The sequence below is a fragment of the Homo sapiens genome, chromosome 1 (assembly GCF_000001405.40).
Source record: "Homo sapiens chromosome 1, GRCh38.p14 Primary Assembly".
Classification (NCBI taxonomy): Eukaryota; Metazoa; Chordata; class Mammalia; order Primates; family Hominidae; genus Homo; species Homo sapiens.
The window spans coordinates 16,691,823-16,719,572 of record NC_000001.11 but is presented as its reverse complement, the minus strand read 5'-3'; the positions used below and the strand labels follow the sequence as shown (position 1 = coordinate 16,719,572).

At 60.6% G+C, this 27,750-nt stretch overlaps 1 long non-coding RNA gene and 1 pseudogene across 4 annotated transcripts in view, besides 9 other annotated features; one reads left to right on the top strand and one right to left on the bottom strand.

The window, feature by feature from the left end:
- The window catches only part of ESPNP (espin pseudogene), a 28,940-nt pseudogene that overhangs the window by 585 nt on the left and 605 nt on the right, over positions 1–27,750 (top strand). The window contains exons 2-10 of the transcript NR_026567.1: positions 11,495–11,681; positions 11,846–12,028; positions 12,154–12,285; positions 15,429–15,630; positions 16,601–16,872; positions 19,553–19,714; positions 19,952–20,147; positions 22,649–22,794; positions 22,879–23,142. The product of NR_026567.1 is annotated as an espin pseudogene (transcript). The remainder of the gene's footprint in view (positions 1–11,494; positions 11,682–11,845; positions 12,029–12,153; positions 12,286–15,428; positions 15,631–16,600; positions 16,873–19,552; positions 19,715–19,951; positions 20,148–22,648; positions 22,795–22,878; positions 23,143–27,750) is intronic.
- Positions 109–661: an enhancer, noted in NCBI's record as "H3K4me1 hESC enhancer chr1:17045407-17045959 (GRCh37/hg19 assembly coordinates)". NCBI's record gives its function as "activates a minimal SCP1, AML or CMV promoter by ChIP-STARR-seq in naive H9 embryonic stem cells {active_cell/tissue: H9 hESC(naive)}" and the evidence as "EXISTENCE:reporter gene assay evidence [ECO:0000049][PMID:30033119]".
- Positions 662–1,215: an enhancer, noted in NCBI's record as "H3K4me1 hESC enhancer chr1:17044853-17045406 (GRCh37/hg19 assembly coordinates)". NCBI's record gives its function as "activates a minimal SCP1, AML or CMV promoter by ChIP-STARR-seq in naive H9 embryonic stem cells {active_cell/tissue: H9 hESC(naive)}" and the evidence as "EXISTENCE:reporter gene assay evidence [ECO:0000049][PMID:30033119]".
- Positions 1,770–2,323: an enhancer, noted in NCBI's record as "H3K4me1 hESC enhancer chr1:17043745-17044298 (GRCh37/hg19 assembly coordinates)". NCBI's record gives its function as "activates a minimal SCP1, AML or CMV promoter by ChIP-STARR-seq in naive H9 embryonic stem cells {active_cell/tissue: H9 hESC(naive)}" and the evidence as "EXISTENCE:reporter gene assay evidence [ECO:0000049][PMID:30033119]".
- Positions 10,902–11,440: an enhancer, noted in NCBI's record as "H3K27ac-H3K4me1 hESC enhancer chr1:17034628-17035166 (GRCh37/hg19 assembly coordinates)". NCBI's record gives its function as "activates a minimal SCP1, AML or CMV promoter by ChIP-STARR-seq in primed H9 embryonic stem cells {active_cell/tissue: H9 hESC(primed)}" and the evidence as "EXISTENCE:reporter gene assay evidence [ECO:0000049][PMID:30033119]".
- Positions 11,441–11,980: an enhancer, noted in NCBI's record as "H3K27ac-H3K4me1 hESC enhancer chr1:17034088-17034627 (GRCh37/hg19 assembly coordinates)". NCBI's record gives its function as "activates a minimal SCP1, AML or CMV promoter by ChIP-STARR-seq in naive H9 embryonic stem cells {active_cell/tissue: H9 hESC(naive)}" and the evidence as "EXISTENCE:reporter gene assay evidence [ECO:0000049][PMID:30033119]".
- Positions 14,118–19,576, bottom strand: LOC124903858 (uncharacterized). Of its 3 annotated transcripts, none has more exons than XR_007065500.1 (3): positions 19,511–19,576; positions 17,878–18,944; positions 14,118–16,618 (listed from the first exon to the last, which is right to left on the bottom strand). It is a non-coding gene; the product is annotated as an uncharacterized LOC124903858 (long non-coding RNA). The 3 variants fall into 3 exon arrangements; XR_007065501.1 differs by lacking the exon at positions 19,511–19,576 and adding an exon at positions 19,403–19,463; XR_007065499.1 differs by lacking the exon at positions 19,511–19,576 and having other exon boundaries at positions 14,118–16,273; positions 16,499–16,618; positions 17,878–17,965.
- Positions 17,890–18,575: an enhancer, noted in NCBI's record as "H3K4me1 hESC enhancer chr1:17027493-17028178 (GRCh37/hg19 assembly coordinates)". NCBI's record gives its function as "activates a minimal SCP1, AML or CMV promoter by ChIP-STARR-seq in primed H9 embryonic stem cells {active_cell/tissue: H9 hESC(primed)}" and the evidence as "EXISTENCE:reporter gene assay evidence [ECO:0000049][PMID:30033119]".
- Positions 23,968–24,794: an enhancer, noted in NCBI's record as "NANOG-H3K4me1 hESC enhancer chr1:17021274-17022100 (GRCh37/hg19 assembly coordinates)". NCBI's record gives its function as "activates a minimal SCP1, AML or CMV promoter by ChIP-STARR-seq in naive and primed H9 embryonic stem cells {active_cell/tissue: H9 hESC(naive and primed)}" and the evidence as "EXISTENCE:reporter gene assay evidence [ECO:0000049][PMID:30033119]".
- Positions 24,795–25,622: an enhancer, noted in NCBI's record as "NANOG-H3K27ac-H3K4me1 hESC enhancer chr1:17020446-17021273 (GRCh37/hg19 assembly coordinates)". NCBI's record gives its function as "activates a minimal SCP1, AML or CMV promoter by ChIP-STARR-seq in naive H9 embryonic stem cells {active_cell/tissue: H9 hESC(naive)}" and the evidence as "EXISTENCE:reporter gene assay evidence [ECO:0000049][PMID:30033119]".
- Positions 25,623–26,449: an enhancer, noted in NCBI's record as "H3K27ac-H3K4me1 hESC enhancer chr1:17019619-17020445 (GRCh37/hg19 assembly coordinates)". NCBI's record gives its function as "activates a minimal SCP1, AML or CMV promoter by ChIP-STARR-seq in naive H9 embryonic stem cells {active_cell/tissue: H9 hESC(naive)}" and the evidence as "EXISTENCE:reporter gene assay evidence [ECO:0000049][PMID:30033119]".

Sequence of the window (27,750 nt, the reverse complement as noted above, 5' to 3'; positions counted from 1 at the left end):
CAGGAGCGCCTCCTAGGCCCTAGTCAAACAGGCAGAAAGGGAACCCCATTAGTTACCAAGCAGTTAAGGGAGAAAGGCCCCTCCCCAACCCCCACCCCACCTCCTGACCCCAGAGCCCCTGGCTGGAGGCCATCCAGAAAGCAACTTGTTATCTCCTGTGGCCCCTCAGCCCATTCCCACTATCAAGGGAAGCATGGGGATCCCAAACCTCCTGGGGAGTGGTCTGGGAGCTCCCCCGGGTGGGGTGGGGGGTCGAACAGAGCAGGTGGCATGTGTGAGTCTTGGGGAGGGAGGAAGAGACTCAGGTCTTAGGTGCGCCTGGGGAGGCAGGGATCCTGGGAAAAGCTGCCCAGGCCCTGTCTGAGAGGGTAGGGTGCCAGATGCCACAGGGGTCTGAGCGGGGAGTGGGTTACTCTGATGGGTGACCCTCGTTAGTCTAAGTGGGAGCCTGAGATGGAAATGTGAATGTGGACCCAGCCTCAGGACGAGAGCAGCTACGAGGTGAGAGGGTCTGGCCTGTCCCCACCACTGGTCAGTTTCTGGGTGTGCCTGCAGGGCCCCTGGCCACCAGGGAGCAAGCTGGAGGCCAGTTCTGGCCATATGGCCATGTGGCAAGGTAGCCACAGCTGCAGCCTCTTGGGCCCAGGCACACTGGCGTGGATGTAGGGTGGCCCTAGGACCCACCAGGCCGGGCTCCAGTGGTCCCCTCAGCCCAGGACAAGGGAGCTGGGCCTGGTTCCATCCTTGCTAAGAAGGGGCTCCCTGGTTTGGTTAGTGGGAGACCCAACAGGCAGCACCCGGAGGAAGGGGTGCTTCACAACCAGCCCTGCCAGGCCTTCTTGGTGGCTGCTTTGGTATGAATTCACTACTTCCAAACAAACTAGGGTTTGGATCATGTCAAAGTCAGTGGGATTTAGACTAGGAGGGACCCAGGGACCCTTGAGTAGAGGGTTCCAACTGGCTCCTGTCAACACCTCTTGGAGGCTGTCCCAGATTCCTGAGTTAGACTCTCCAGGTTGGGGCCTGGGAGCCACACCTGGGACATGTCCCCACCCTCATGGCGGTGATTCTGATGCACCTGTCCCACCCCCTCACTTCAAGCAGAGGAGAAGGACAGGTCTTGAGAGGGGCAGGTGCCCCTGATGGCGGGACCAATATGGCCCAAGTGTGAACTGGAAGACGCTGAGCCCGCCTTATGCAAGTGCTGGTGGGGACCGCCGGCCCCTAAGCCTTCCTCACTGAGAAGCCACGATCCCTCCGTGGGCTGGATCCCAGGTGTTAGGAAGACTGGCTGTGCTGTGGAACGCCCTCCAGGGCTCCGGGGCTGGGGAACCCTGACCCCCTCCCAGGCCATGCCAGGTGCTGTGTGTGATTGGGCGCTGGTGCCGACCCAGTGGCCAGATGGCCTGGACTGATGAGCTGCCAGCCCCCCAGGAGTCACCATGAATCTCAGGGAGGTGGACAGAGGGCTTGGGCTCCGTTCCCCACAGCAGCATGTGACTCGACTGATAAGAAGGTGTCTTTCTGTGGTTGCCAGGCTGGGCTTATGCAGGAAGAGCAGCTGGGAATTGGGGTTGGGGGCTGGGGTACCCACTTAACCTCCTATCTTGCGGGTAGGGATTCCTGCTCACCGAGGCTGTGGATATGAAGGCTGGGAGCTGGGTAGGGCAGAGGCTTGAGCTGCCCCAGGCCACAGGGCCCAATCAGGGCACCCAGGTGGCCCAGCTTCATGATCTTGCGAGCCTCTGGGGCCTGCTGTGAATTGCTGTGAATTATTCACAAGGCTCAGCTCTCTCGCTGGCGCGTGGGTGAGTGCTGAGGGAGGAAGGGCTCCCGGACCTGCTGGTGGGAAACTCGATCCTGCCCAGGGAGGGGCTGTGGGTGGCCATGAGACATGGAAGTGACACGCTGCAGAGGAGCTGGAAGGCTGGACAGCCTCGGGGAGGCTCAGCTAATTCCAGGGCTACACCTTGGGGTGTTATAATAGAAAGTGCTTGAGATTGCAGGAATGTCCTGCACATCCCCCACACCTCCCTGTCTATCCCGTTCATGGGGCCAAGTCTTCCCAGAAGCAGAGGACTTGTCACAGTGACCTCGGGGCTGCTGCCACGTGGGACCCTCCCTCTGAGCCCTTGTAGAAAAGGGATCTCTCATACAAAATTAGCCGGGTGTGGTGGCGCGTGCCTGTAATCCCAGCCACTCAGGAGGCTGAGGCAGGAGAATCGCTTGAACCCGGCAGACGGAGGTTGCAGTGAGCCAAGATCGCGCCATTGCACTACAACCTGGGCAACAAGAGTGAAACTCCATCTCCAGGTGGGGAAAAAAAAGAAAAAGAAAAAGGACCTCTCAGTTGGGAGGTACGGGGCTGGCAGGAGCTGGGCTGGGCAAGTCCCAGGCTCTGGGTCTCAGGGAGATTGAGTTGGGAGGGTTGGCCCTCCCAGCAGGAGCTCCAGTGGCTGATGGAGGGGAACAAGGGGTCCAGACCCCCATTCAGGGCAGAGTGAGGAGGGGCGAAGAGCAGGTGGCCCCAAGGCCAGTGGCCACCCTCCCAGGAGGGTCCTGGGGCCCAGGAGCTCACTCTGCCCCCCTCACACCTGCTTCTGGCTGTCCCAGGGCCTGAGCAGCTGGACAGGGCTGTGTGGGTCGGGGAGCTGGGGATCAGCTGGGACCCTGAGGCTTGAGCTTCCAGGCTGGGGAGTGAGGAGGCTCCAGTCTCTTCCCCTGGGCTCGTGGGTGCTGCCAGTCACAGCAAGCTGGAAAACCAGTTAGCCCAGAGATGTTATCAACTTCAGCAGGTGCCTCCTTCCCCCAAAGCCTCCCCTACCCCTGACCAGACTAGACTGGAATGGGATTGGAAAGTACCTGGGGCTGGGTATGGTGGCTCACGCCTGTAATCCCAGCACTTTGGGAGGCTGAGGCAGGTGGATCACCTGAGGTCAAGAGTTCAAGACCAGCCTGACCAACATGGTGAAACCCCGTCTCTACCAAAAATACAAAAATTAGCTGGGTGTGTGGCTGGGCTATGCCTGTACAGGTGGCACATGCTTGTAATCCCAGCTACTAGGGAGGCTGAGGCAGGAGAATCGCTTGAACCAGGGAGGCGGAGGTTGCAGTGAGCCCAGATCATGCTATTGCATTCCAGCCTGGGCAACAGAGCAAGACTCTGTCCAAAAAAAAAAAAAAAAAAAAAAGGAACGAATGAAAGAAAGGAAGGAAAGAAAAGAAAGGAAAGAAAAAAAGAACCTGGTGCTGAGTATCTTCTAGGGGTCTGGCACCACCCAGTGTCATCTGAGTCACACAACCACCCCGAGCAGTAGCTATGTAATCAGCCCATTTTACAGATGGACTCATTCAACTAATGTTTATTGAGCATCTTCTATGTGCCAGGCAATATTCTAAATGCCAGTGATATGCTGGTGAACCAGACAAGCGTCCCTGCCTGGTGGAGCTGACAGGTACAGAAATGGTGTTTTAGAGAGGCTGATTCACCAGCTGTGGTCATCACTGGCTTGCTGTGTGGCCTTGAGCAGGCTGTACCTCCTCTCTGGGTCTCTCTCCCACTCCTGGTCCAGGTCCTAATCACTCAGGGCCTTTCAAGTCCACTGCAGACTTCCCCTTTTCCCTTCCTTTGTGCAAAGCTTCACGGAGTCTGGCTGCTCCCACGGCCCAGGGGTTCAGGCAGCCCCCACCTGGGACAGAAAGGGAGTTTGTTGGGAAGCCCCTAGCAACTCTCAGCTTAGAGAGCCCCAGGGCCCAGGGCTCAACTCTCCCCCTTAGAAGGCTGGAGGCTCTGCCTGGGGTGGTCCCTGATTCTGCCACAGGCCGTGGGGGCTCATTCCTTTTTATCAGCAGCCCCAGATCTACCCCTGGTGTCTGTCAGTTCACCTGGCTGCAGGGCGTGGGGGCGGGGCCTGTGTCCACACTGAGGAGGTGGCTGCCGTCCTTGACTCCCTGACCCACGTGGAGGCTCTGGGAAAGGAAGGGCCTGGTGGAGTCCGGGGAAGCCCCTCACAGCAGGAGACCATCTCGTGTCTCCACCAGCAGCTCCTGGTCCCAGCTGTCATCTAACCGGGGCTAGTGCTCCTGCCCTACCCTTCTAAGGGGGAGAGCTGAGCCTTGGACCCTGGGGCTCTGTAAGCAGCACGCTGCTGGGGCATCCCAGGGCTTCTGAGAAACCCCCTTTCTGCCTCACGTGGGGGCTACCTGAACCCCTTGGGCTCAGCTGGGCCCAAGGCTCTGTGAGGCTGTGCACTACAGAACGGAAAAGGGGAAGTCCTCAGTAAGCCTGAAAGGCCCTGGCCTTCACCCGTCCATGTCCACCCGCAGCCTTTGAAAACACAAGTCCTGCTGGGTGTGGTGGCTCACACCTGTAATCCCAGCACTTTGGGAGGCTGAGGCGGGCGGAACACGAGGTCAGGAGTTCGAGACCAGCCTGGCCAACATGGAGAAACCCCGTCTCTACTAAAAAATACAAAAATTAGCCGGGTGTGGTGGCACGTGCCTGTAGTCCCAGCAACTCGGGAGGCTGAGGCAGGAGAATTGCTGGAACCCGGGAGGCGGAGCTTGCAGTGAGCCAAGATCGAGCCACTGTACTCCAGCCTGGGCGACAGAGCAAGACTCCGTCTCAAAAAAGAAAAAGAAAAGAAAAGAAAAGACAATGCAAGTCCTGGTCTGGTGCAGTGGTTCATGCCTGTAATCCCAGCACTTTGGGAAGCTGAGGCGGGCGGATCACAAGGTCAGGAACTTGAGACCAGCTTGGCCAATACGGTGAAACCCCGTCTCTACTAAAAAATACAAAAATTAGCTGGGCATGGTGGTGGGTGTCTGTAATCCCGCTACTCAGGAGGCTGAGGCAGGAGAATTGCTTGAACCCGGAAGGCGGAGGTTGCAGTGAACCAAGATTGCGCCACTGCACTCAAGCCTGGGCGACAGAGCAAGACTCCATCTCAGGGGGAAAAATAGTTAGCCGGGTGTGGTGGCTCCCGCCTGTAGTCCCAGCTGCTTGGGAGGCTGAGGCATAAGAATCACTTGAACCTGGGAGGCAGCGGTTACAGTGAGCTGAGATTGTGCCACTGCATTCCAGCCTGGGCAACAGAGCAAGACTCCGTTTCACAAAAAAAAAAGAGCACCTCCCGTCACAGGCTTCTGGCCACTGACAGGGAATGCTGCTCACTTCCTTACAATGGCCCAGAGGCTGTCCCTCCTCCGGGCTGTGGTCCCCTCCAACAGGCCAGCACCCCTGCCTTCACAGAGGCTGATCCCTCTGCAGGGATCAGAGATCCCCGCCTGCTCCCTGCCTTCCTGCAAGTCTTTGCCCAGACCTCACCTCAGCAAGGCCAACCCTGAGCCTCGCTGAAATTGTCACCCGCGCCCATGATGCCCACTCACTTTCCCGCTGACCTTGTTCCCTGCTGCCCTTTTCCTTGAGACTCGACTCTTGCTCTATTGCCCAGGCTTGAGTGCAGTGGCACAGCTCTCTGTAACCTCCACCTCCCAGGTTCAGGTGATTCTCCTGCCTTAGCCTCCTGAGTAGCCAGGATTATAGGTGCATATGGCACCACACCTGGCTAATTTTTGTATTATTAGTAGAGATGGGGTTTCACCATGTTGGCCAGGCTGGTCTCGAACTCCTGAACTCAGGTGATCCGCCCACCTCGGCCTCCCAAAGTGCTGGGATTACAGGCATGAGCCACTGCACCTGGCCTCCCAGCCGCCCTATGGTTGCCTGGCTTTGCGTTCTGTGTGCATCCTGCGTGACAGCCGGAAGCTAACCCCTAGGAGAAGCCCCTGAGACACATTCCATCTCTTCACTCCCTGCATGCCCGGATTTCTGGCTGGGCCCTGCATCACACAGACAGATGTGTGTTTTCATCCCGTCTGTCCGTGACTAATAAGGCCAGGGGCTTTGTCTTCCCGGCTCTGTATGCCCAGAGCCTGACTCCAGTAAACATCTGCTGAATGAGTGGGGCATGGAATCCCAGGGACTTGTCCACTCTGCCTACAGCTCATTGCATGTGACCCTAGACAAAACTCCCCTCTGGGCATTTCCGAGCCTATCTGGCAAGTGGATCTAACCTGCTCTACCAGGCTGCGGCCATGAGTGAAGAGACATCCCCTACTCCTGGCCTGGATGTCCCTTCTCATATTTATTCATTCAACAAACAGCAAGTGGGTGCACTCAACTGCCCGGCCTGTCATCACGTCAGCCACACATTCTTCTATCCACGCATGTATGGGTCTGAGGAATAGGAGAACAAGATAATTCAGGAGTGGCAAGTGCTATATAGTGAAATGAGGAGTTTGGTAGGAAGCGATGGGGATGGTTCTTTAAGTTGAGGGGTCAGGGAAGCCAGGCATCTTTGAGGGGAGGAGAGCTGAGAACCTAATGAAAAGAGGGTCGGCCTCGCAGCCCTGCCATGGTGGAACTGGCAGTGATGTGGGGAGGTGTAGAGGCCTCAGGGGGGGTCAAATTTGGCCTAATTACGGGCCAGGAGGAAGACCTGGGAGGCTGGGAGAGTTGCAGGCAACTGTAGGCTTCTGGAACTATTCCATGCTAGCTGATGGGCTGGGGTGTAGAACCTTTCTCAAATCGGGGCTGCATTTCTTCCCTGGGCCAGGCCTACTTGGGAATCTTTTAACATAGGCCGGGAAGTTTGACTGGAGGACACCGAGAGCCGTAGATCCACCAAAGGCTCCGTGAATTTCAATTGAAAGCAGTCACGGGCCACAACCAGACTGATCCTCGGAGGGACAGCCTCTTCCTGGCCTCCCTCTGGGGAGGCGTGACTGGCAGTGGGGCGGGCTGCGGGAATCATTCTGCAGCCCGACTCTGGCTCCATGGGCAGCTCACTCCCTGCGGCGGTGCTGGCAGTCAGCTGGCACCAGTCTCCGCCAGAGATTCCCACAGCCCACACGGGGGACCCATGTTTCTTTTGTGTAATCAGAGGTGACTTGATGAATAGTTACAGTTCATCCATAGCATCTTTGTTCCCAGGAGAAAGAAAACAAATCATGATTTATACGATCATCGCCAGGGCGCCTCTGACCTACAAAGAGGGTTTGGGTCAAAGCCGGGGCAAAGGGCAAGGGCTTGGTCTGGGAGCACTTTTCTGCAGCTGTCACTGTGGTCAGGGCTAGAGCTGGCAAGGGTCTGGGAGTCAGAGGTCTCCCCCAAGACCCATCCTCTCCCCTCTAGGTAGTGTTCCCCACAGCAGAAATGATGCCCAGCCTGGCCCGTACTTGGCAGGACCCGGACAGGCCAGGCCAGCCATAGACCCCCCTGGTGGCTGGTCCTCCCAGGCACAGGGAAGGATCCTAAAGTTCAGCAATGGCTGTGCGCCAGGCACCAGGCCTGTGCTCAGGGCTCTGCAGGCACTTCTCAGGCACTCTGCACGAGGTCAGGATGACAACTGTTGCCCCCATTTCATGGATGGGTTTGGGAACACAAAGAGACAAGAAGCAAGACTGTGGCACAGCTCAAAGGCACGGGACTCGAGCCAGGTCCTCCTGCGGGGCTGTGCCCCAGCAGCTGTCAAAGAGTGTTCCTGAGTTCCCAGCAGTGAGGTCTGTGGGGAAGGGCAGTGGTCTGTGCAGTGGGAGGGAGGGAGGGAGGCAGAGGGACAGACCGACCAAGAGCAGAAGGGGTGTAGACGTGGCACATTTGGAGTCAGAAGCAGGCTCTGCATCAGACACAGCCTCAAATCGGGGCTCTGCCTCTTTCTCACAGAGTGATCTTAGCTCTCTGTGCCTCAGTTTCCTCATCTGTACCAGAAGAACAATGCTAACACCTGTCCTGTGGGGTTGTTACAAAGACCAGCTGAGAGAACGTGTGTGTTGTACTCATCACAGTGCTTGAGACAGAGTAATCATTCAGTAAATGGTGGCTGCTATCACTATTATTATTATTTACTATTATTACTTTTATTAATTCCTCTCTCTAGTGATGGGAATTTTGTTTATTTTCTCATTTATTTATTTATTTTAGAGATAGGCTCTTGCTCTGACACCCAGGCTGGAGTGCAGCGGTATGATCATAGTTCCCTGCAGCCTCAACTTCTTGGACTCAAGTGATCCTCCCTCCTCAGCCTCCTGAGTGGCTGGGACTACAGGTGTGCACCAACACACCTGGCTCATTTTTGTATTGTTTGTAGAGACGGAGGTCTCTCTATGTTGCCCAGGCTGGTCTCGAACTCCTAGGCTCAGGCAGTCCTCCTGCTTTGGCCTCCCGAGGTGCTTGGATTCCAGGTGTGTGATGGGAATTTCATTTTGGTCCTTATGCTCATCCATATCTTTGTAATACTCCCCAGTGACTGTGAGAGTGCCCATTGTTCTTCTTGTCCTCAGGCCAAGGTGGAAGGGGATGTTGAGCCAGGACCCCTTCCCACCCAGCCCAACAGCATATCTGCCTCATGTTCTGGGGTATTCCAAGCTGGAGGCTCTGACTCCATAATGGGGCGCATGAGTGCAGATGGTGGAATACTAATGAGAATGGTGATGAGCTCCAGCACTTACTGAGGGCTCATTCCGTGCCAGGAACTTGGGCTGGGAGTGCCAGCCAGCGGCCCTGCAGGAGGCCGTGGGTACCACTTCCCCCTGCTGCTCAGATCCTGCTTGATGCCAGCTTCTCAGACCTTCTCTGGCTGGCTGGGCACCCCTGGGTCATGGATCTCTGCCAAGTAGGGAGTGCTGAGAGAGCAGAGCTCACTGCAGGTCTGGCCCCCCACCCGCTGTGTACACCGCCGTGGGCCTCTGCAGAAAGAACCCAGTGGGCCCCCACCAGCCCCTGATCCCAAAGACCCCGGCACTCACTGTGCCTTGGTTACGGGGTGAATAATTTAGGCCGCTGAGCGTCGGTCATGAAATATTCAACAGCCTGTTCTGATGCAGCAGTATGTGAGTGTGTGTGGGGGTGACGCTGGCGCTGGGGTGTGGAGGCTGGCAGCCACGAGCCAGCATGTTTCTGAAGATAGATACGTAGCTGGGTCTTCTGTCTCCCTCATCTGTGTTGACGGGACCCCCTCTGGATCACCAGGCATGGTGCCTGCTCCCCGCACCATCATGAAGTGCCCGGCTCAGCATCAGCCCCAGCAAATGGCAGCCCTGTGTCTAGGGAGTGGGGAGGGAGGAGAAATCAGTGAGTGGGGGTCCATGGGGGCTGCAGAGTCAGGGGTCTCAGTCAGAGTCAGCCTTGGGGTCTCAGGAGTCAGGGAAGTGGACAGAGAACCAGGGCTTTAGGGACAGGGAGATGCCAGCTGGGAGGGGCTCAGGATGTGTGTGAGAGGGAGGGAGAGGGCACACGTGACAGGGGTCAGAAGAGGGGCTGAGTCGTGTTGGGAACAAGAGGGTGGGTGGGCAAAGGGGGGTAGCCTGGTGCACGTTGATGGGCAGGCAACAAGTGGATGGGCAGTTGGATGGGTGAACGAGGGATGAATGCAGGGTGGAGCATGTGGTTGATCTACGGGGTGAAAGACTGGGGGAGGTAGATGGGCAGGATGTCAAGTCCTGTGAGGAATTGGCCTCCTAGGCACAAAAGGTGAACTGGAACCCAATAGGTCGTGGCCCCCAACCTGGAACTTCTCCTGGGTCTGGGGGTAGGTTGTGGCTCCACCTAGTGTCCTTTGGTGGCAACTGCACCCTGGGCTGTTCACACCCAACAGCCCAGCAGCCAGGACAGCCCTGCTGTTCCCTAGGTAGGCCCCCTCTGGGCTGGCAGAGCAAGGATAAGGGACAGTGACAGCCGAAAACTAGGCCCTAGGAGGAGCCCCTGAGACACATTCCATCTCTTCACTCCCTGCATGCCCATATTGCCAGCCAGGCCCTGCATGCACAGACAGATGGGTGTTCAAGTGCCACTTACCAACTGTGTGACCGAGGAGAGAGCTGAGTCTGTGCCTCTGTTGTGGGACTATGGGTGATGGCACAGAGTCCCAGCCCCACCTGTGAGCCTCCCCAGCTGTAGCTGCACCATTGACTGAATTCTGATTCTGGCAGGTCCCCTGCTAGGTGCCTTACCGGTGTAATCTCAGTTGATGGTCACAGTAATAGTTGATGGCCGGGCGCAGTGGCTCACACCTGTAATCCCAGCACTTTGGGAGGCCGAGACAGGCGGATCACTTGAGCTCAGGAGTTTGAGACCAGCCTGGCCAAGATGGCAAAACTGGGTTTCTGCTAAAAATACGAAAATTAGCCAGGCGTGGTGGCACATGCCTGTAGTCCCAGCTGTTTGGGAGGCTCAGGCAGGAGAATGGCTTGAACCCAGGAGGCAGAGGGTGCAGTGAGCTGAGATTGCGCCATTGCATTCCAGCCTGGATGACAGAGAAAGACTCCGTCTCAAAAATAAAAATAAAAAAAGAAGAACCTGCTTGCCAGTGCCGTAGCCCAGAGCTAGCACAGCAGAAGCATTCAGTACATAGTGGACATCCCGAGGGCTGCCAGATTAACAAAAACAGCAACAACAAAACCCGGGATGTTTGACTAGCTTTGAATCTCAGATAAAAAAGTTGTATTTTAGTATAAGTATGTCCCATGCAATATTTGGGATATAGAATACTAAAGCATTATCCGTTCATCCGAAATTCCGGTTGAACTGTGTGAACTGCATTTTGTCTGGCAACCCTTACCACCCTGCCCGCTGGGAACTCAGTCTTCTGGGGGAGGCAAAGGTCAAAATCAGTTATGGTCAACCAAGCATGACAGGTCATGCTCATAGTGGCCCTGGGCAGTGTGGGGCGGAGGCCAGCAAGGGGGAAATAAATCAGGGTGGCCCTCATGGAGGAGGGATGGGTACTGAGTCTTCAAGAGGGAGGAGGATGGAAGGACATTCCAGATGGAGGGGGCACACGATGAAAGGGATAGAGGTCAGACACAGCAGTTGTGGGGACTCATGGTGACAGTGGGCGAGAGGGGAGGAAAGGCCAGCTCACCACATCTTTGTAGACCTCGGTTAAAAAGTGGGACTGAGGCTGGGCGCGGTGGCTCTGTAATCCCAGCACTTTGGGAGGCCGAGGCGGGCGGATCACAAGGTCAGAAGTTCGAGACCAGCCTGGTCAACATGGTGAAACCCCGTCTCTACTAAAAATACAAAAGATTAGCGGGGCGTGGTGGCGCATGCCTGTAATCCCAGCTACTCAGGAGGCTGAAGCAGAAGAATCGCTTGAACCCGGGAGGCAGAGATTGCAGTGAGCCAAGATCCAGCCACTGCACTCCAGCCTGGGCGACAGAGCTAGACTTCTTCTCAAAAAAAAAAAAAAAAAAAAAAAAGTGGGACTGAGGGCAGGGCAGTGCTGGGTGGGACGCCCTCAGGGGCCTCTGAGGGAGGGTGGCTCAGGACTCAGTCCAGGCGGAGCCCCCCGGGCGGCAGCGGGCCGGTGACAGGGCCCTCTCCCGCCCACTCTCCCTGCCGTCCAGGGCTCCCCGGGAGGGGAGGGGGGCGGGTAAGGAGGCCTCGGAGGGGGTGAGGCGCTGAAAGCCCACGGTGGGCGCTGTGTCTCCGCAGGGGAGTGAATGCCCAAACCAAGAACGGTGCCACGCCCCTGTACCTGGCGTGCCAGGAGGGCCACCTGGAGGTGACGCAGTACCTGGTGCAGGAATGCGGCGCGGACCCGCACGCGCGCGCCCACGACGGCATGACCCCACTGCACGCCGCGGCGCAGATGGGCCACAGCCCGGTCATCGTGTGGTTGGTGAGCTCCGGGCCCGGGCGGTGCGGAGGGGAGACGGGGCGGAGCCGGCAGGGCGGGGAGTGGAGGGAGCGGGGCCATCAGGAGTGGGGCGGAGGACCGTGGGCGGGGCCTGCAGGGGCCTGGCCCCCATCCCCCGGCCCTCTCTCCCCGCCCCTCCCGCCCAGGTGAGCTGCACCGACGTGAGCCTGTCGGAGCAGGACAAAGACGGCGCCACCGCCACGCACTTCGCGGCGAGCCGCGGCCACAGCAAGGTGCTCAGCTGGCTGCTGCTGCACGGCGGGGAGATCTCGGCTGACCTGTGGGGCGGGACCGCGCTGTACGACGCCGCCGAGAACGGGGAGCTAGAGGTCAGCGCGGGCCCGGGGTGGGGGCGCGCGCCCTCTGCTGGCACCGCGCTCTCCGCACGGCCCTGCCCGGGCGCGGGGGTCCCAGCTCGTGGCCGCGGCCGGGTCCTCACTGCGTGCCCCCACAGTGCTGCCAGATCCTGGTAGTGAACGGCGCGGAGCTGGAAGTCCGCGACCGCGACGGGTACGCGGCCGCTGACCTGTCGGACTTCAACGGCCACAGCCACTGCACCCACTGCCTGCGCACGGTGGAGAACCTGGTACGATCCCTGCGCTGCTCCTGTTGCATTCTCTCTTCTCGCCCCTCCACCCCAGTGGTGGGTGTCGTCACCCCTTTTACCAAGGAGGAAGCTGAGGTTCAGAGACGTGAAGCCCGCTACCCCACACGACCTGTCAGCCCAGAACCACTGCCTGCTGGGGACTGAGGGAGTAGAGGCACAAAGGTTAACGGAAAGAGGACAGGGAAGAACAGGGTCACCCCAAGGGGTAAGGCTGGAGAAATCACAAGACAGGCCCCATTGGGAACAGGCAGGCTCATTCACCTACCCATAGACATTAGCTTGGGTATAACTCACAGCCACCCTCTGCAGAAGAGAGTGTAAGTGTCCCGTTCCACATATGGGTAAAGGGAGTCTGCGGGGCACCAGGATCGCATCACCAGTAAGTGGTAGAGTGGAGAACCTACCTTGATGGCCTGACCAGGAGCCACCTCTCTGCCCCTGCACCATATATTAGCTGACTTCATGGCTGGGTCATAACTGGAAACCCATGCTACTCTTTTTAAATTATGTTTTTATGGTGAGACAGCCACGAAGTGACCTACTGGGACTTGAACTCAGCTGTGGATGTCTCCAAGTGAGGGCTCTGCACCATCTGGTACAATGCCTGCTTTGAGGCAATAGGCAGGGAAGAGAGTGGGCCTCACAGCCAACCCCAAAAGGATGCGGACCAACTCCATGGGGCAGCCTGGCCATGGAGTGGCTGTGAAATGAGGCCCGGAGGGAAGAAGGCAGATGGTCTGTGCCCTGAGCACCGTCTGTCCATCTGTCGTCCCTGCCAGCACAGGGGGATGGTCCTGGCTCTGGGGGCTGCAGAACACAGCAAGGCCCAGAGGCCAGAGGCTGCAGGTGGGCCTGAGGGTGAACTTCCCCCCGAGAAAGAGTCTCTGGAAGAGAATGAATGGCCCAGCAGGTAGTCAGCACTCTGTCACTAGGGTATATAAGCCGGGATGGACACAGGGAAGGACATTTCTGCATCAGTGGTGGGTCCCCATCAGTTAAGAGAGCCTGTGACTCTGTCGAGGGACCATGGGGGGTGGCACCAGAGCCCAGGGCACCTGAGGGCCTGTCTGGATGCAGCTGCTAGTGGTCATAGGACAGCAAACACTATTCATTGGATTCTGACTTAGGCAGGTACCCTGCCGAGTGCCTTAAAGGTGTAATCTCAGTTACTCTTCACAGTACATTAAAAAAATAGTTGGCTGGGTGCAGTGGCTCAGGCCAGGCGCGGTGGCTCATGCCTGTAATCCCAGCACTTTGGGAGGCCGAGGCGGGCAGATCACGAGGTCAGTAGATCAAGACCATCCTGGCCAACATGGTGAAACCCCGTATCTACTAAAACTACAAAAAAAAAAAAAAATTAGTCAGGTGTGGTAGCACACGCCTGTAGTCCCAGCTACTCGGGAGGCTGAGGCAGGAGAATCGCTTGAACCCAGGAGGCGGAGGTTGCAGTAAGCCAAGACCGCGCCACTGCACTCCAGCCTGGTGACAGAGCAAGACTCCGTCTAAAAATAAAATAAAATAAAATAAAAAAGTTGACAGGCCGGGTGTGGTGGCTCATGCCTGCACTTTGAGAAGCTGAGGCGGGTGGATCACCTGAAGTCAGGGTTCGAGACCAGCCTGGTCAACATGATGAAACCCCATCTCTACTAAATATACAAAAATTAGCTGGGTGTGGTGGCGGGTGCCTTTAATTCCAACTACTTGGGAGGCTGAGGCAGGAGAATTGCTTGAACTCAGGAGGTGGAGGTTGCACTGAGCCAAGACCGCGCCACTGTACTCCAGCCTGGGCAACAAGAACAAAACTCCGTCTAAAAAAAAAAAAAAAAAAATTTGACAGTATGGCATTTACTGGGCGCCATGTCCTGGAGCTCAGCAGAGCAAGTAGTGCTGTTACCCCCATTTGCAGATAAAGAAACATAGGCACAAAAAGCACAGGTGACTCGCCTGAAATAGCTAGTAAGTCGGGGAGGGAAAGTTTGAAGCCACAGTCCCAGACTGCAGAGCTGGGTGGCTCAGGCCAGGCGCAGTACACCTGCTGTGGCCCAGCCTCTTATCTGCTGCCTACAGGGGTCAGGGCTTGGTGCCCTCAGCACCCACTGCTGTTGCCCAGGTAAAGAGCACCTTTGGGTGCTGCCCATGCCACCTCCTATGGCTCCCCTGACTCCTGCGGTAGGTAACAGGGCCTGGTCCCCTGGAATGGGTGGGGTGTGTGTGCCCTGGTCCCCTCACTCAAGCAGGCCCAGCTGAGGCAGGGACAGACCCAAGCCACAGAAGACGCTGGCCCAGAAAAGGCAAACACTCCAGCAGAGCCCCTAATTACGGGGCCAATGAGCGCGGCCGCTGAGCCGTTACCTGGTGCCAGGCCTGCCTCTCTCTCCCAGGGTGCCTGTGACACTTCTTAGGTAGGGAGGGGGCACGGGGCAAGGAGGAGCAGGCCTGGGCAGGAGGCAGCGGAGCAAGCGGGCTTGCCGGCAGCAGGGGCAGCATGGGCAATGTAAGCAGGGCCCCTACCACAGCCCCCTCTGCACCGGGAGGGGACAGGCCTGTGGTCAGACGCACAGACCGGGCAGGGCGGGGGAATGGCAGGCCTGGCAGCCTGAGCTCTGGCTGCCCATCACTGCTCAGCTGGCCATCCAGGCCCTACCCTTACCCCAAGGGCCCCATCAGGAGACAGGCCGGGCTGGTGTTGGGAGTCTGCTCCAGGTCCCAGGTCTGGCAAGGAGAGCTGGCTTGCCAGCCAGGTCACTAGGGATGGGCCTGTGCTGTGCCCTTCCCCATGGAGCCTGTGCCGATCTGTGAGGGAGAAGGCCGATCTCCTGGCAGTTCTCCCCCTGGGGTGCAGCTCAAGGCCCCCTCCTCGTCGATCTCTCCACCCTCCTAATCAGGGAGGAGCCAGGGGAGGGAGTTTCCCAGGAACCTGGGTCCTCTGCCTGGCGGGGCTGGGCTTGAATCTTAACCCGGAGGAACCTGAAAGACCCTCTAGCGATGGGGAAGAGACCCCAGAGAGGGGTGTGGCTTGGCCAAGATCCCACGGCAAAGGCATGGCTGAGTAGGACCCTGGCCTGGAGAGCAACGCATCTTGGGGTGCAGTTGCCTTCATGGCCTCCCTGCCTCCCCTTCAGAGCATGGAGCACTGCGTGCTCTCCCGGGATCCATCCGTGGAGCTGGAGGCGAAGCAGCCGGATTCAGGCATGTCCTCACCCAACACCACGGTGTCGGTCCAGCCTCTGAACTTTGACCTCAGCTCGCCCACCAGCACCCTCTCCAACTACGACTCCTGCTCCTCCAGCCACTCCAGCATCAAGGGCCAGCACCCTCCACGTGGTGAGTGTGCCCAGGAGGAAGAGGGGGAGGGAGAGCAGACTGAAGCCAGACTGCTGGGCTGTGAGGGTTGGCCTTGGGCCAGCCTGCCACAGCCAATATCGGAGACTACTCTTATCACTTGCTTTTAAACATGGGGAGGCGACACCCTTTCTGGTGAGAGACAGATGTCACTCATACTTGTGTGTGCTCATCACAGACATACATGTACATCCACATGTACTCTCCCCACCCACAAAATCCACGTGTGCCACCCACCATTCATTATTCTTAGCTACTCACACACAAAAGCACACACTTGTACATGTGTACACACAGCATACAGATATGAACACACATACAGAGCCATGCTAATATCTGCACACACCCACCTTACACACAAGCACACAATGCTCTATTTCCATACTACAGATATGCACACACACACACACCATGTCCACAGAGCAATGCACACACATTCATCAATACAAAGAAGCATGTGCACAAATGCGTACACACTCAAACATACACAAATTCACAATCGCCTCGGCAGACTGCAGGCTTGTGTGTACACACACCCTGACCGTGCCCTGAGCATGGGCGTCCATCCACTTGCAATGCCTGCTTCACGCCACCAGATGGTGGCCTCCAGACCTGGCAGGGTGCCCTGCAAAGATTGGATGTGGCCATCTGTACTCCCAAGGAGTAGACCCTCCCCTTCCAGGTGACCCTGCCCTCTAGACACACCAAAGCCTCCAGTGCTTCCCCTCCAAACCGGAGTGCCTGGTCTTCCCCCAATAAGTGCTGGGCTGGGGCAGGGCAGGGCCAGGGAGAGGAAGCCCAGCAACGCCAGGGGCCACAACAGGTGTACCAAGTGGTGCCCGGAGCCCACCTTGGCCCTCGGCAAGTTGTTTCCAGGTGGTGGAGAGTCTCATTCTTGGGGGAAAGGCTGTCTGCATGCTTCCAAATCTGGCCCTTCCTTCTGCCTCCCCAGGGCTTTCCAGCACTAGAGCTGCAGACATACAGAGCTACATGGACATGCTGAACCCAGAGCTGGGCCTGCCTTGGGGCACGATTGGGAAGCCCATACCCCCACCACCCCCACCCAGCTTCCCCCCGCCACCCCCGCCCCCAGGCACCCAACTGCCCCCACCCCCACCTAGCTACCCATCTCCCAAGCCTCCTGTGGGACCACAGGCAGCTGACATCTACATGCAGACCAAGAACAAACTCCGCCACGTGGAGACAGAGGCCCTCAAGAAGGAGGTAGTGAGCCCTCACCCACTGCCTGCCTCCCAGCAGGGGTACTGGGCTGATGGGGGCCAGTCAGGCCAAAGGCCTGGCCTCACTAGTGGGCACAGGGTGGGGGTCCCTGGGTCCATGGCATATTCAAGAGTCAAAGCTCCTGGCGAGTCCCACGAGGGGTCAGGGCTGGACACTGGACTGGGAGGAGAGTAAGAGCAGGTCACTGCCCTCCATGGGAGCTGGGGGGTGAAGGACGCAGGTCCAGACAGCTGTTCCTCACCAGGAACTGGGCCTGTGCCACCTCTTGCACAGGAGTGGCCGGGTTGTCATGGAGTTGACAGAGAATGCATGGAGACTGCCCCTCCCCAAGCATGCCCCCCCACCCCCACAGCCCCAGGCTCAGTCGGAGAGTGTCACCCAAGGGAGGTGGCTGCCAGGTGGAAGGTGCCAGTGGCATGGCTGTAGAGGTAAGGGCTGGAAGGAGGGAGGGAGGAAGGTGAGCAGGCACTAGCAGGGCTGGGCGCCCACCGGCAGTAGGGGCTGGGAGGAAGTGAAGCTGTGGCTGGTTCCAGTTTAGGGCTTGAGCTCCTGGGGGAAAGGGCCAGGCCTGAGCTGGGAGCCCTGGAGGGAAGCGAGCCTGTGTGGAGAGGATGAGGGCAGGGTGGGTAGGTGAAGTGTGAGGTGCCTAGGGATGTCTGGGGCCTGCAGGCGCCTGGCTGAGGCTCTGGAGCAGGGATTGGGGCAGAGGTCTGGTCTGAGCAATTGCGGGTATCCTCGGCAGGGTGCCCTGGGGAACACTGGCGTTCTGGCCACAGGAACAGAGCAAGGATGGTCTAAGAGGTGAGGGGACAGCCTGAGGTCACAGGTGGCCAGATGTGGTGTGGCAGCTCCCTGGGGTCCTGCTGGAGCCTGGGACCTTGCAGTTCTCTCTTAAGCCCAAGGCAAAGCCACCCCAGGGCCAATTCATACAAGGTGACTCAGGTCACAAGGCCAGTGGGCAAGGGAGGCATGGGAGGGACACCAAACCTGCAGGCCAGCTCCAGTAGCTGCCCTCTTCACGCCACCTTAGACCAAGCTCCCACAGTGGCTTTCCCCTTTCATCTCTGGGAGGCAGAGGGGGCCGGGCGGGTAGGGCTGCAGGGGCCCTGGAATCGTTGAGCTCCCGGCGCAGACTGTGGGCCCCGCCCAAATCCACAGGACAGGTGGCCCAGCCAGTGCCCCCTCTCCACCGCTGAGCCCAAGTGCCAGGTCTGTGAGGTCACCTCCTGGCTGTGCGAGCCCCCTCCCGGCTGTGTGCGTCCCTCCCGGCTGTGTGCGTGCTGGGCCGCAGACGCCAGGGCCCGGGCCGGGAAGCTCTACAAAGGGCTCTTTGTGTCGCCGCGGCGCCTCCCGCGCGGGTGCCTGACCGCAGGTGGGAGCAGGGTCGTGGCGTCGGAGCCTCCGGGCTGCAGGGGGCGCGGAGCCGGCGGGCTGGCCCAGAAAACGAATCCTGCGGTGTCGCGTTTCCTGCAACGTGAGCCAGGTCGGGCGGGGTGAAGGGTCTGAGGCCACCGCAGGGACGCATGGGCTGGAGAGTGGGGCAGGGGACAGCCCCCACCCGGTCACTCAGTCTTTGGCCCGGCCGCCTCACTCTCCCTCACTGAGCTGGGCCTAGTTGGGGGCAGCTGCGACGGGGCGGGAAGCCGCGCTGTCACCCGACCCCGCCTTACGGCCCCTGAAATCCGAGGCTTGAGCGCGGGTGTCGGTGTCGCTTTCGTGGATGGCGATGGTTTCCAGATGCAGGAGGGAAACGGTGGGGACGCGACCCGGAGCCGGCAGCCAAATATGAGAGGCCCCCTCTGCCCACGGTCAGCCCTCTCTCCTCTCGGGCGGGGATGAAGGTGGGGGCTCAGCTCCCAGCTTAGGGAGAGGCGCAGGGGGCGGGGTCACATCTGGCCCGGGGCGGGTGCAGAGCCGCGGCCAGGTGTGGCAGAGTAGTTGGCGCCCCCGTGGCATCCGCGACGGCTGGGGGGGGTTCGGCCTGGGATTGGCGGGCCCCGGGTGATGTCAGGCCGTCGGAGCCCATAGGCTGGCCGTGCGCGGGCGTCTGTAACCTGAGAGGAAGTATCACGTAAAGCAGGTGTCGGGTCCTGCCGCCCCCGCCGCCAGGTGCACAGCAGGACCACCAGCACCGTGGCAGGTTGGAGCAGCCCCTAGACGGACAAGCGGGGTCCGGGGCAAGCCGGAGCCTCGGAGAGCACAGGCTCTGGAGGGGGCTCCCTCCGGCCCGGGACCCCCGAAAGACAGGGCTCCGCGGAGCCCTGGGGACCCGCAGTCCTTCTGACAGCCGAGAGCGGAGTGCGGCCGAGGGCCTAGTGAAGGCTAAGCTGGGAGGTGCCCCTTCTCTAGCTCCCCCTGGCGTCGGGGCTGGGCCGGCCCGCCCCTGGGCCCGCCCCTTCTGGCCTCAGTGGGGGACCCTGTGCCCCTTGGCCGGTGCCCAGAACCCCTCCCTGTAAGGCGGGCGGAGCCTGCCCTTCCACCGAGGCCCCCATGAACCTCGCCCGCTGCCCACCGTGAGAACAGGGGGTCTAGGAAGTCGGCTGCTGCACCCCCCGACGGCCGCTGGCCGCGAGTTCCCAGGAGGTGAAGAGCTGGGTGGGGAGGCGTGGGGGGCGCCTACCGGGCACTTGCCCGAGCCCCACCGGTCACTGTCTTCCCGCAGCCGAGCTCCTGCGACGGCCACGACGGGCTACGGAGGCAGGACTCCAGCCGCAAGCCCCGCGCTTTCAGCAAGCAGCCCAGCACGGGGGACTACTACCGGCAGCTGGGCCGCTGCCCCGGCGAGACGCTGGTCGCACGCCCGGGCATGGCGCACCGCGAGGAGGTGCGTGCCCGCCAGCCCGCGCCCGCCGGCTGCCCGCGCCTCGGCCCTGCCGCCCGCGGCTCGCTCGAAGGCCCCTCCGCTCCCCCGCAGGCGGCGCAGCCGTCGCGGATGCTACGTGGGCCCCAACTGCTCTGCCACACCTGACCGCGGCTCTGCACGCGCCCCCGGCCAGATGTGACCCAGACCCCTCAGCCTCTCCCTAAGCTGGGAGGTGAGCCCCCACCTTCATCCCCGCAGGCGGAACTCCCTGGGAACCACGTGCCTAACGGCTGCGCCGCGGACCCCAAGGCGTCCAGGGAGCAGCAGCTGCCGCCGCCGCCGCCGCCGCCGCCCCTGCCCGAGGCCGCGAGTTCGCCGCCGCCGGTCCCGCCTCTGCCCCTCGAGGGCGCTGGCCCTGGCTGCGGGCAGCGCCGCTCCTCCTCGCCCACCGGCAGTGAGTAGGGGCAGGTTGAGGGGTGGGGGGCGGCGCTAGCCCTGAAAGGGGAGGGAAATCTAGACACCACCCCCTCCCCAGCTGTCACTGCCCGGGTCCTTCCTCTTCTACATGGTCTTCCGGCCACCCCTACCGCATTGAGTACTTGACCCTAAGAGAGGGCTCTGGGTTGCTTGAGGTCCTGCCAAAGCAGGACCGGGCTGCACAGCCTGGGGCAAGTCCCTTCCCCAGTCTGGGCCTGCCTCCCACCCTCTAGCTGTGTGGCCTGGACAAGTCCCCTCCCCTCTCTGGGCCTGCCTCCCACGGGCTAGAAAGGGCCTTCCAGCTCTGGCGCTGGTGTTTCCCATGAGCTGGTGCTGGTGTTTCTGATGAGCTGGTACTGGAGGGACACTTGAAGTCGAACCAGCTTCAGAGAGGCCCCGCAGCTGGCCACCCTTCCCCCTGCCCCTGTCTATCCTGAGCCTCTCTTCCTCTCTCCACGTCTTTCTCTTGTCTTTCCAAGCAGCACAGACCTGAAGCCTTCTTAGATATGCCAGGAACTCTTCCTAGCCAGTTCCTGCCAGGGGCCCTGGGCCAGCCAGAGCCTGGCTATGGGGGCAAAGCTGTGACCCACCATGTTTCCCCCTCCCTCCCCGGTGACTTCCCTAGGCATCCTTTTTAAGAGCTAGACTGGCGCAGGATTCCTGGGCTTCTTTTCTGTAGGGTGGGACAGTGTCCCCCTGCCAGGACACCTAGAAGGCCCAGGACAGGGTGCCTAGATGTGGTGCTCCCATCCCAGCCTGGCTGGGGTGCCTTCATCACCCAGCCACTCAGGGCAGAGATCATGCTTAGTGGCACCCCTCAAAGCTTCATCTCCCTGACTAGGAGTGCAGAGCAGAGCTTGTCCCCCTATGGTTCCTATGGAGCCCCAGCCCCTGCAGACCAGAGCCCATGGAAGCATGTCCAGCACCTGCCGAGCCTCCTTCTCCTTCCCTCCACAGTCTGCAGCAGGGCTGAAGCTAAGGGCAGAGAAAAATATACTCTGGGCTTCCCCAGACACCCCCACCCAGCACAGCCAGGGCTGGGTGCCCTACCCCAACCCAGTGCCAAGGTGGAGGCCCTTGCTGGGGGCTAGAGCCACTGGTGGCCCTGCCCTGCCCAGCCCTCAGGGGCACCAGCCAAACCAGGAACTCGATGGACCACCCTCATGGGGCCCCAGAGCAGCCTGAGCCAGGGTCAGATGGGCAGAAATGCTCCTCCTCTCTTCTCCACTTCCCCCCTCCTGCTCTCCCTGGCCCGCTCCCTGTCCCCTGCTATCCCAGTCTCATCCTGGCCCCCTTTCCCTCCTAACTCCGCTGTCACTTCTCTCCTCTTGGTCCCTAGAAGTGAGAGTCCTGAGGCACAGGAAGAGTGAGTAGCTGCGTGCGCGGCTCCTGGCTGAGGCTGAGGCGCGGGGTGGGGGGAAGAGGCAGGAAAAGCACGGGAGGAGGGGCCCAGCCTTGAGGAAAGGGCAGGGGCAGGGGCTGGCAGGCGAGAGAACCTCGATGCATGGGTGGGGCCTTGCACCTCATACCTACCCTCATACCCACATATGCACCCAAGCATTCTGCGCCTGGCTGATGGTTTTGCCTAAATAAATGAGTAAGCCACACCGATTTTCCCTTTCTCCTACTCTTCTCCTCCCGGTGACTGCACTCTGGGATCCCCAGCCTGGGAATCCAAGAGCTGTCGGCCCATTTTATTCCTCCCTCCCAGACCTGACCCCTTCATCGGGACTCAAGAGACCTATCTCTCCAAATCTCCATTCGCCTCCTCCGGCTAAGCCAGAAAATGCACCCTCTGCCCTGGGTGTTTGCATATTACCTGCTGCCCTTCTTCCTGGGTGCCTCCTGTGGCCTTAGTAAGGGCTCTGCTTTCCCCTAGAGCTGAGCCGTGCTTTGCCATAAATGTGCTCCCGGCTTGCAACCAATGTGTCTGCTTGTGCGTCTGTCTGTGGGTGTGGTGGCGAGGGAGGGGAGCAGGTGGTACTGGCACTCTGGGGTCTGGACTCTGCATGTCCATGGAGGCCCCAATTGACTCAGCTCAAGGGTCACTGAGGCTTTGCTGATGTAGGGAGAGGGCCAGAGGGAGGCTCCACCCAGCCGGGCTGAGCCAGGAAACCTGGGACAAAGGTCCGGTGGCTGATTCCAGGTAGTGTTTTGGGGCTGGGCAGTCAGTGGCTGGGCAGGAATATATGCCCAAGAGCCACCATGAACTCCCAGGGGTCTCCAGGCAGGGGCCCTCCATCCCGTGAGTAGGGTGGGGGAGGATGGTGGGGTTGCCACAGTCGGGGAACCAAGGGCCTGCCTCTGGGGGCCCTGAAAGCTGCCTGCAGGACCTGGGATCTGGAGAGCTGCCCGCTGGCCCCGAGGATGGGCACCCATCCAATCTGGAGTTGGGAAGGGGGCTGCAGAGGGGCGGGTGAGGGGTGGCAGGGATGCAGCCCCACCCTGGCCAGTGCCTCATCTCCTGCCTCTGCATAGGCACCAAGTCTTTCAACGTGATGTTCCCGATGGGCGACAACTCGGAGCTACTGGCTGAGATTAAGGCAGGCAAGAGCCTGAAGCCGACGCCACAGAGCAAGGGGCTGACCACAGTGTTCTCAGGCAGCAGGCAGCCGGCCTTCCAGGTAGGCGGGCCCAGCAGGAGCCTGCGACCCGGCTTCCCTGGCCCTAGGCCACCAGGCGCTCAGCCCCACCGCTTCTCCCTGCAGCCCGATTGGCCGCTGCCGTCTGTGTCACCTGCACTGTTACCAGTCCGGAGCCCCACACCGCCAGCTGCGGGGTTTCAGCCGCTGCTCAACGGAAGCTTGGTTCCGGTGCCGCCCACTACTCCTGCGCCGGGGGTGCAGCTGGACGTGGAGGCGCTCATCCCCACGCACGATGAGCAGGGCCGTCCCAAGCCCGAGTGGAAGCGCCAGGTGATGGTGGGCAAGATGCAGCTGAAGATGGAGGAGGAGGAGGAGCAGAGGTGGAAAGTGGGTGGGGCGGGGTGCCCAGGGAGCCCTGGGGTCTGCATCTGGATGCACAGCCCATCCCCCACGCCACCCCCAACACCAACCTCGGGACCTCCTATTTTCTTTCTTTCTTTCTTTTTCTTTTTTTCTTTTTCGTGAGACAGAGGCTTGCTCTGTCGCCCAGGCTGGAGTGCAGTGGCGCGATCTCGGCTCACTGCAACCTTTGTCTCCTGGGTTCAAATGATTCTCCTGCCTCAGCCTCTCAGGTAGCTGGGATTACAGGCGCATGCCACCACGCCCAGCTAATTTTTTTGTATTTTTATTAGAGACGGGGTTTCACCATGTTGGCCAGGGCTGGGATTACAGGCATGAGCCACTGTGCCCGGCCATCTTCTTTAGGGAAATCAGGGTGGCACGACCCCGTTTGGGGCTTGTCCCAGTCTCCACACACACCCCCAGCAGCTTGTCCTTGGAGTGAGACAGCAGCCTTTCTCAGACTCTCCTTCACCTGCCCAGCACCTGGGATCTGGTTAAAAGGCCTGTTCGGATTCAGGAGGTCTGGGCAGGGCTGAGGTTCTGCATTTCTAGCCAGCTCCTGGGTGAGGCTGCTGATGACACTGGTCCAAGGACCACACTGAGTAGCCAAGAGAGCTTTGGTCTCAGTCTTAGGGACCTGGTCTCCATTGCTGCGCTGCCGCCTTCCAGCTGCCGATACTGAGCCTCATCCAGCCTCAGTTTCCTTCTCTGTAAGGTGAGCTGATCAGCACCAGCTGGCAGGATGAGTTGCTTTCCATTCATCCAAAAACTATTCCCCGAATGCCATTTATTTTTATTATTTTTTATTTTTTTGAGACAGGGTCTCACTCTGTCACTGAGGCTGGAGTACAGTGGTGCGATCTTGACTCACTGCAACCTCCACCTCCTGGGTTCAAGTGATTCTCCCGCCTCAGCCTCCCGAGTAGCTGGGACTACAGATGCCCGCCAACCATGCCCGGCTAATTTTTGTATTCTTAGTAGAGATGGGGTTTCACCATGTTGGCCAGGCTGGTCTTGAACTCCTGGCCTCAAGTGATCTGCCCGCCTCGGCCTCCCAAAGTGCTGGGATTACAGGCGTGAGCCACCACGCCTGGCCCCCGAGTGCCATTTATGTGCCCCACACGCTTGTAGCCTCTGGGGATTCATGGTGAACATATCAAGGCCTGCTCTAAGGTGGCTGCGGACATGTGTGCGAGTCACCAAGCACACAAAATGGGGCAGTGTGAGAGAGTGGGTGGCAGTGGAGAGAAGTACCTGGGCTGATGCAACACAGCCAGCTGCAATGGGGAACGCAGGGGACTGGGGCAGCCCTAACCGGCCACCTTATACGTGGGCTGGGGGGTGTGTTAGGGAAGGAGGAGGTGATGTCTAAGGTAACACTTGGAAGACGAGTGAGGGGTGGCCAGGCAGAGAGGGGGCTGAAGAGCCGCAGGTGGGACAGGGCAGTCTGGAAGTGAGAGTGGATGTGGCCCTGACTGTCCTGGAGGAAGGGGGTCGCTGAGCTGGAGAGACCTCAGTGGGGGCCAGGTTACCAAGACCTGGCCAGAGGCCCAGAAGAGAACGGACTTTCTCCTGGAGCACTGGGGAGCCGGGTGCGGGGAGTGTTAAGCAGGGAAGAGGCTGCTTCCTATTTGTATGTGGGGAGTGGATCCCATAGGGCCAAGATGAATCAGGGACCTCTGTGGAGGCGATGGCAGGCCCAGGGGGGAAAACTGGACATCAGAGGTGGAGAAAAGTGAGCAAATGAGAATATTACGGTGCCCAGCTGTCCAGCACGACGAAGGGAGGGGAAGGGTGGGCAGCTCAGTGGAAGCTGCAGCTGCAGCCTCTTTAAGAGAGGAGTGGCCTCTCATTCTGCACATAAAACATTGACCACAGGGAGCGGAAGGCTTGGGCCACAGGGGAGCTGGAGAAGGGGTCATGAGTCTGGGAGGAGAGGCCTCACAATAGCCGCCCTCGGATGGGTTGGGGCGGGCCACCGCGCCTCTCAGCTTCAAGGCCTTTGGCAAGTTCCTTGGGTGGTGTAATGAGCGAACAAGCCAGGCATGGAGACCCCGTCTGCTGGCCTGTTCTTGCCGCCGCAGCAGCGAGCAGCAACCGGCCGTGCCCCCCGCCAGCGACCAAAGTGGACACTGCCCAGAGCCTGGAGCGGCGGCTCAGGCCGAAGCCTCACCCCAGCGTCACCCCCCGCCGGCCAGACGCGGTCCCTCCCTGCAGACGCAGCCCCGCGGAGCCATTACACCACCCAGGACATGCAAAAGGTTCCTGGCGCCACGGCGGGAGCTGGGCCAGAGGGAGACGCGCCTCCCTCCCCTCTCTTGTCTTCCCCGCCTTAGCTGACGGCCGCCAGCTCGTGCTGCTACCCCCGCGAGGGCTGGAGGTACCCCCGCGAGGGCTGGAGGTACTCCCGCGAGCACAACGCCATCCTCTGGCCCTTTGGCGAGCTCATGACCGAGGCCGACATCCTCCGCATCGAGCAGCAATCGAGAACCTGCAGGTGCTGCACAAGGCGCAGAAGCTGGAGGCGCGCCTGGAGCAACTGGAGCTGAGCAGCTGCTGCCCATCTCCGTCGCCCTGTGGAGCCGCGCTTCACCGTCGACCCGCGCCGAATGCATGGCCGCGCCGCCAGCCTGCCCGCCTGGTGCAGCAAGATCTCCACGCTGCTCAAGAGCATGGCCACGCTGCTAGCCGCGCTGGGCGGCCGGCCTGCGCACCTGGCGGAGCTGCCGACCGCTGACACGGGCCAGCCGCTGGCGCCGCTGCCTGAGGCGCCCTGACTGCCGGGGCCGCTTTGCCTGGGCCGCTCGCACTGGCTCAACTGGTGCCGCGAGGCTGTGGCGCGCGAGATCCTCGAGTGCGGCGTCTCCGTGCAGCATCACCGCGCCACCTACGAGCTGCGCGCACTGGACGCGGCGCCCCCGCGCTGTCCGCGCCGCAAGCCCCCGCAGTCCGCTGGCGCCCCGGTCCGCGAGCCCATCCTGTAGGAGGACTACGTGGCGGCCGGCTCTGGCCAGCCCAGCGCCGCCGCCGCCCACGGCCCGCTGGCCGACTGGGAGCCCCTGGACACCCTGGGCCCGCCTGAGGCACAGGATTGCCAGGCGGCGCTACTTGAGCCCGAGCAGCTGGCGCGCCGGCCGCCCCTCTGCACGGAACTGCGCGGCGTCCAGGACTACCTCGACCTGCGCAAGGAGCGCATCGTTTACCTCTTCCTGGAGCACTGGCGCCTCTGGGCCTTCCTCGGACCGGGCCTTCCGCGGACCAGGCGCGCCTAGGCAGACTGCTCCCTGGCGTGACGGCCGCCCGTGCTGGCCGGAGCTGGAGGCCACGGACGCCCCCCGGCTGCCGGTGAGCAAGGGCGAGGCCCACAGCCCCAACGAACGGCTGCGGCAGCTGCTGAGGCAGCGGCAGGCAGTGGGCAAGCTGCTGCACCACTGGCGGAGCCTGCGGCGGCACGTGCCGCCAAGCCCGGGCCTGGCGCACGGCGTGTACTGGCCCCAGCACTTCCTGTCGCCCCTAGACGGCGGCGCACCCCCGCGCTACGAAAGCCTCACGCTCGACCTCTTCATGCTCGGCTACTTCCAGCTACCGGAGATGGGCCTGAGCCGCGAGGATCGCAAGTTCCGCCACCTACTGTGCTACGAGATGTTCCACCGGCTGGACAGCCACCCGTGGGAGCGCATCCGCCTCTTCCACCGCGTGGTGCTGGAGGAGGTGGAGGCCGGCCGGCGCGGCTGGAGCGACGGCTTCGAGGACCTCAGGCACAGGTTCTTCGGAAACGGCCTGGAGGCTGGGCCGGCCCCCGAAGAACAGGCGAAGAAAAAGGAAGAGAAGGGGAAAGAACAGGAGCGGACCGAAGAGGCCGCTCCGGTTCAGAAGGGGGACCCGCCCAAGGGGCAGCGCGAGGCCCTGGCCCCTGTGCCGCAGCCGCCGCCACCGCCCGCCCGCCCGCCGGCCCGCCGCGCCTCCCCGCCGCGCCTCCCCGGATCTCAGACTCTCCGGGTTCCGAAGCCCCCGCCGAAGACCCTTTGGAACTAGTGTCTGAGATGGGCGAATTCAGCAACGAGGACATCTGCCGCTACATCGACCGCAGCTTCTCCTTCTGGAAGGAGAAGGAGGCAGAGCTGTTTGACATCTGAGCAGCGGAATTCGGAATTCGCAGTTCACCCTCGAGCGTCTTAACGTGGGCCTGGACGCCTGTCTGACGCCCTCCAGAGGCGTGAAGCAGCGGGAAGAACCCAGGACTGTGGCCTTGAGCAGCCCGGAGGGCCCAGGACCAGGCTGCCTCAGCCTCTGAGGTCCCATCGTGAGCAGGTTGTGTGGGGCGTTGGTCGGATAGGCAGGGCAGGCACAGAACAAACCAGGTGTCCCCCTCTGGCCCCGTGGTCTTGCTGAGCTCTGTGTGGAGCCAGGCAGCAGAAGAAGCCCCTCTGAGTGAGGGGCTGCGGCTCCTCCCTGGGGCAGTGTGGCCTGCTCTCTGGTTTTCCACTGGAGTTCACAGCTACCTCCTTGGCTGAGGTCAAGGGAGCCACGTGTGCAGTGTTCTGTGTGAAGTGTGCGGTGTACAGACCCTTTCTCCTCTGTAATATTCAGGAA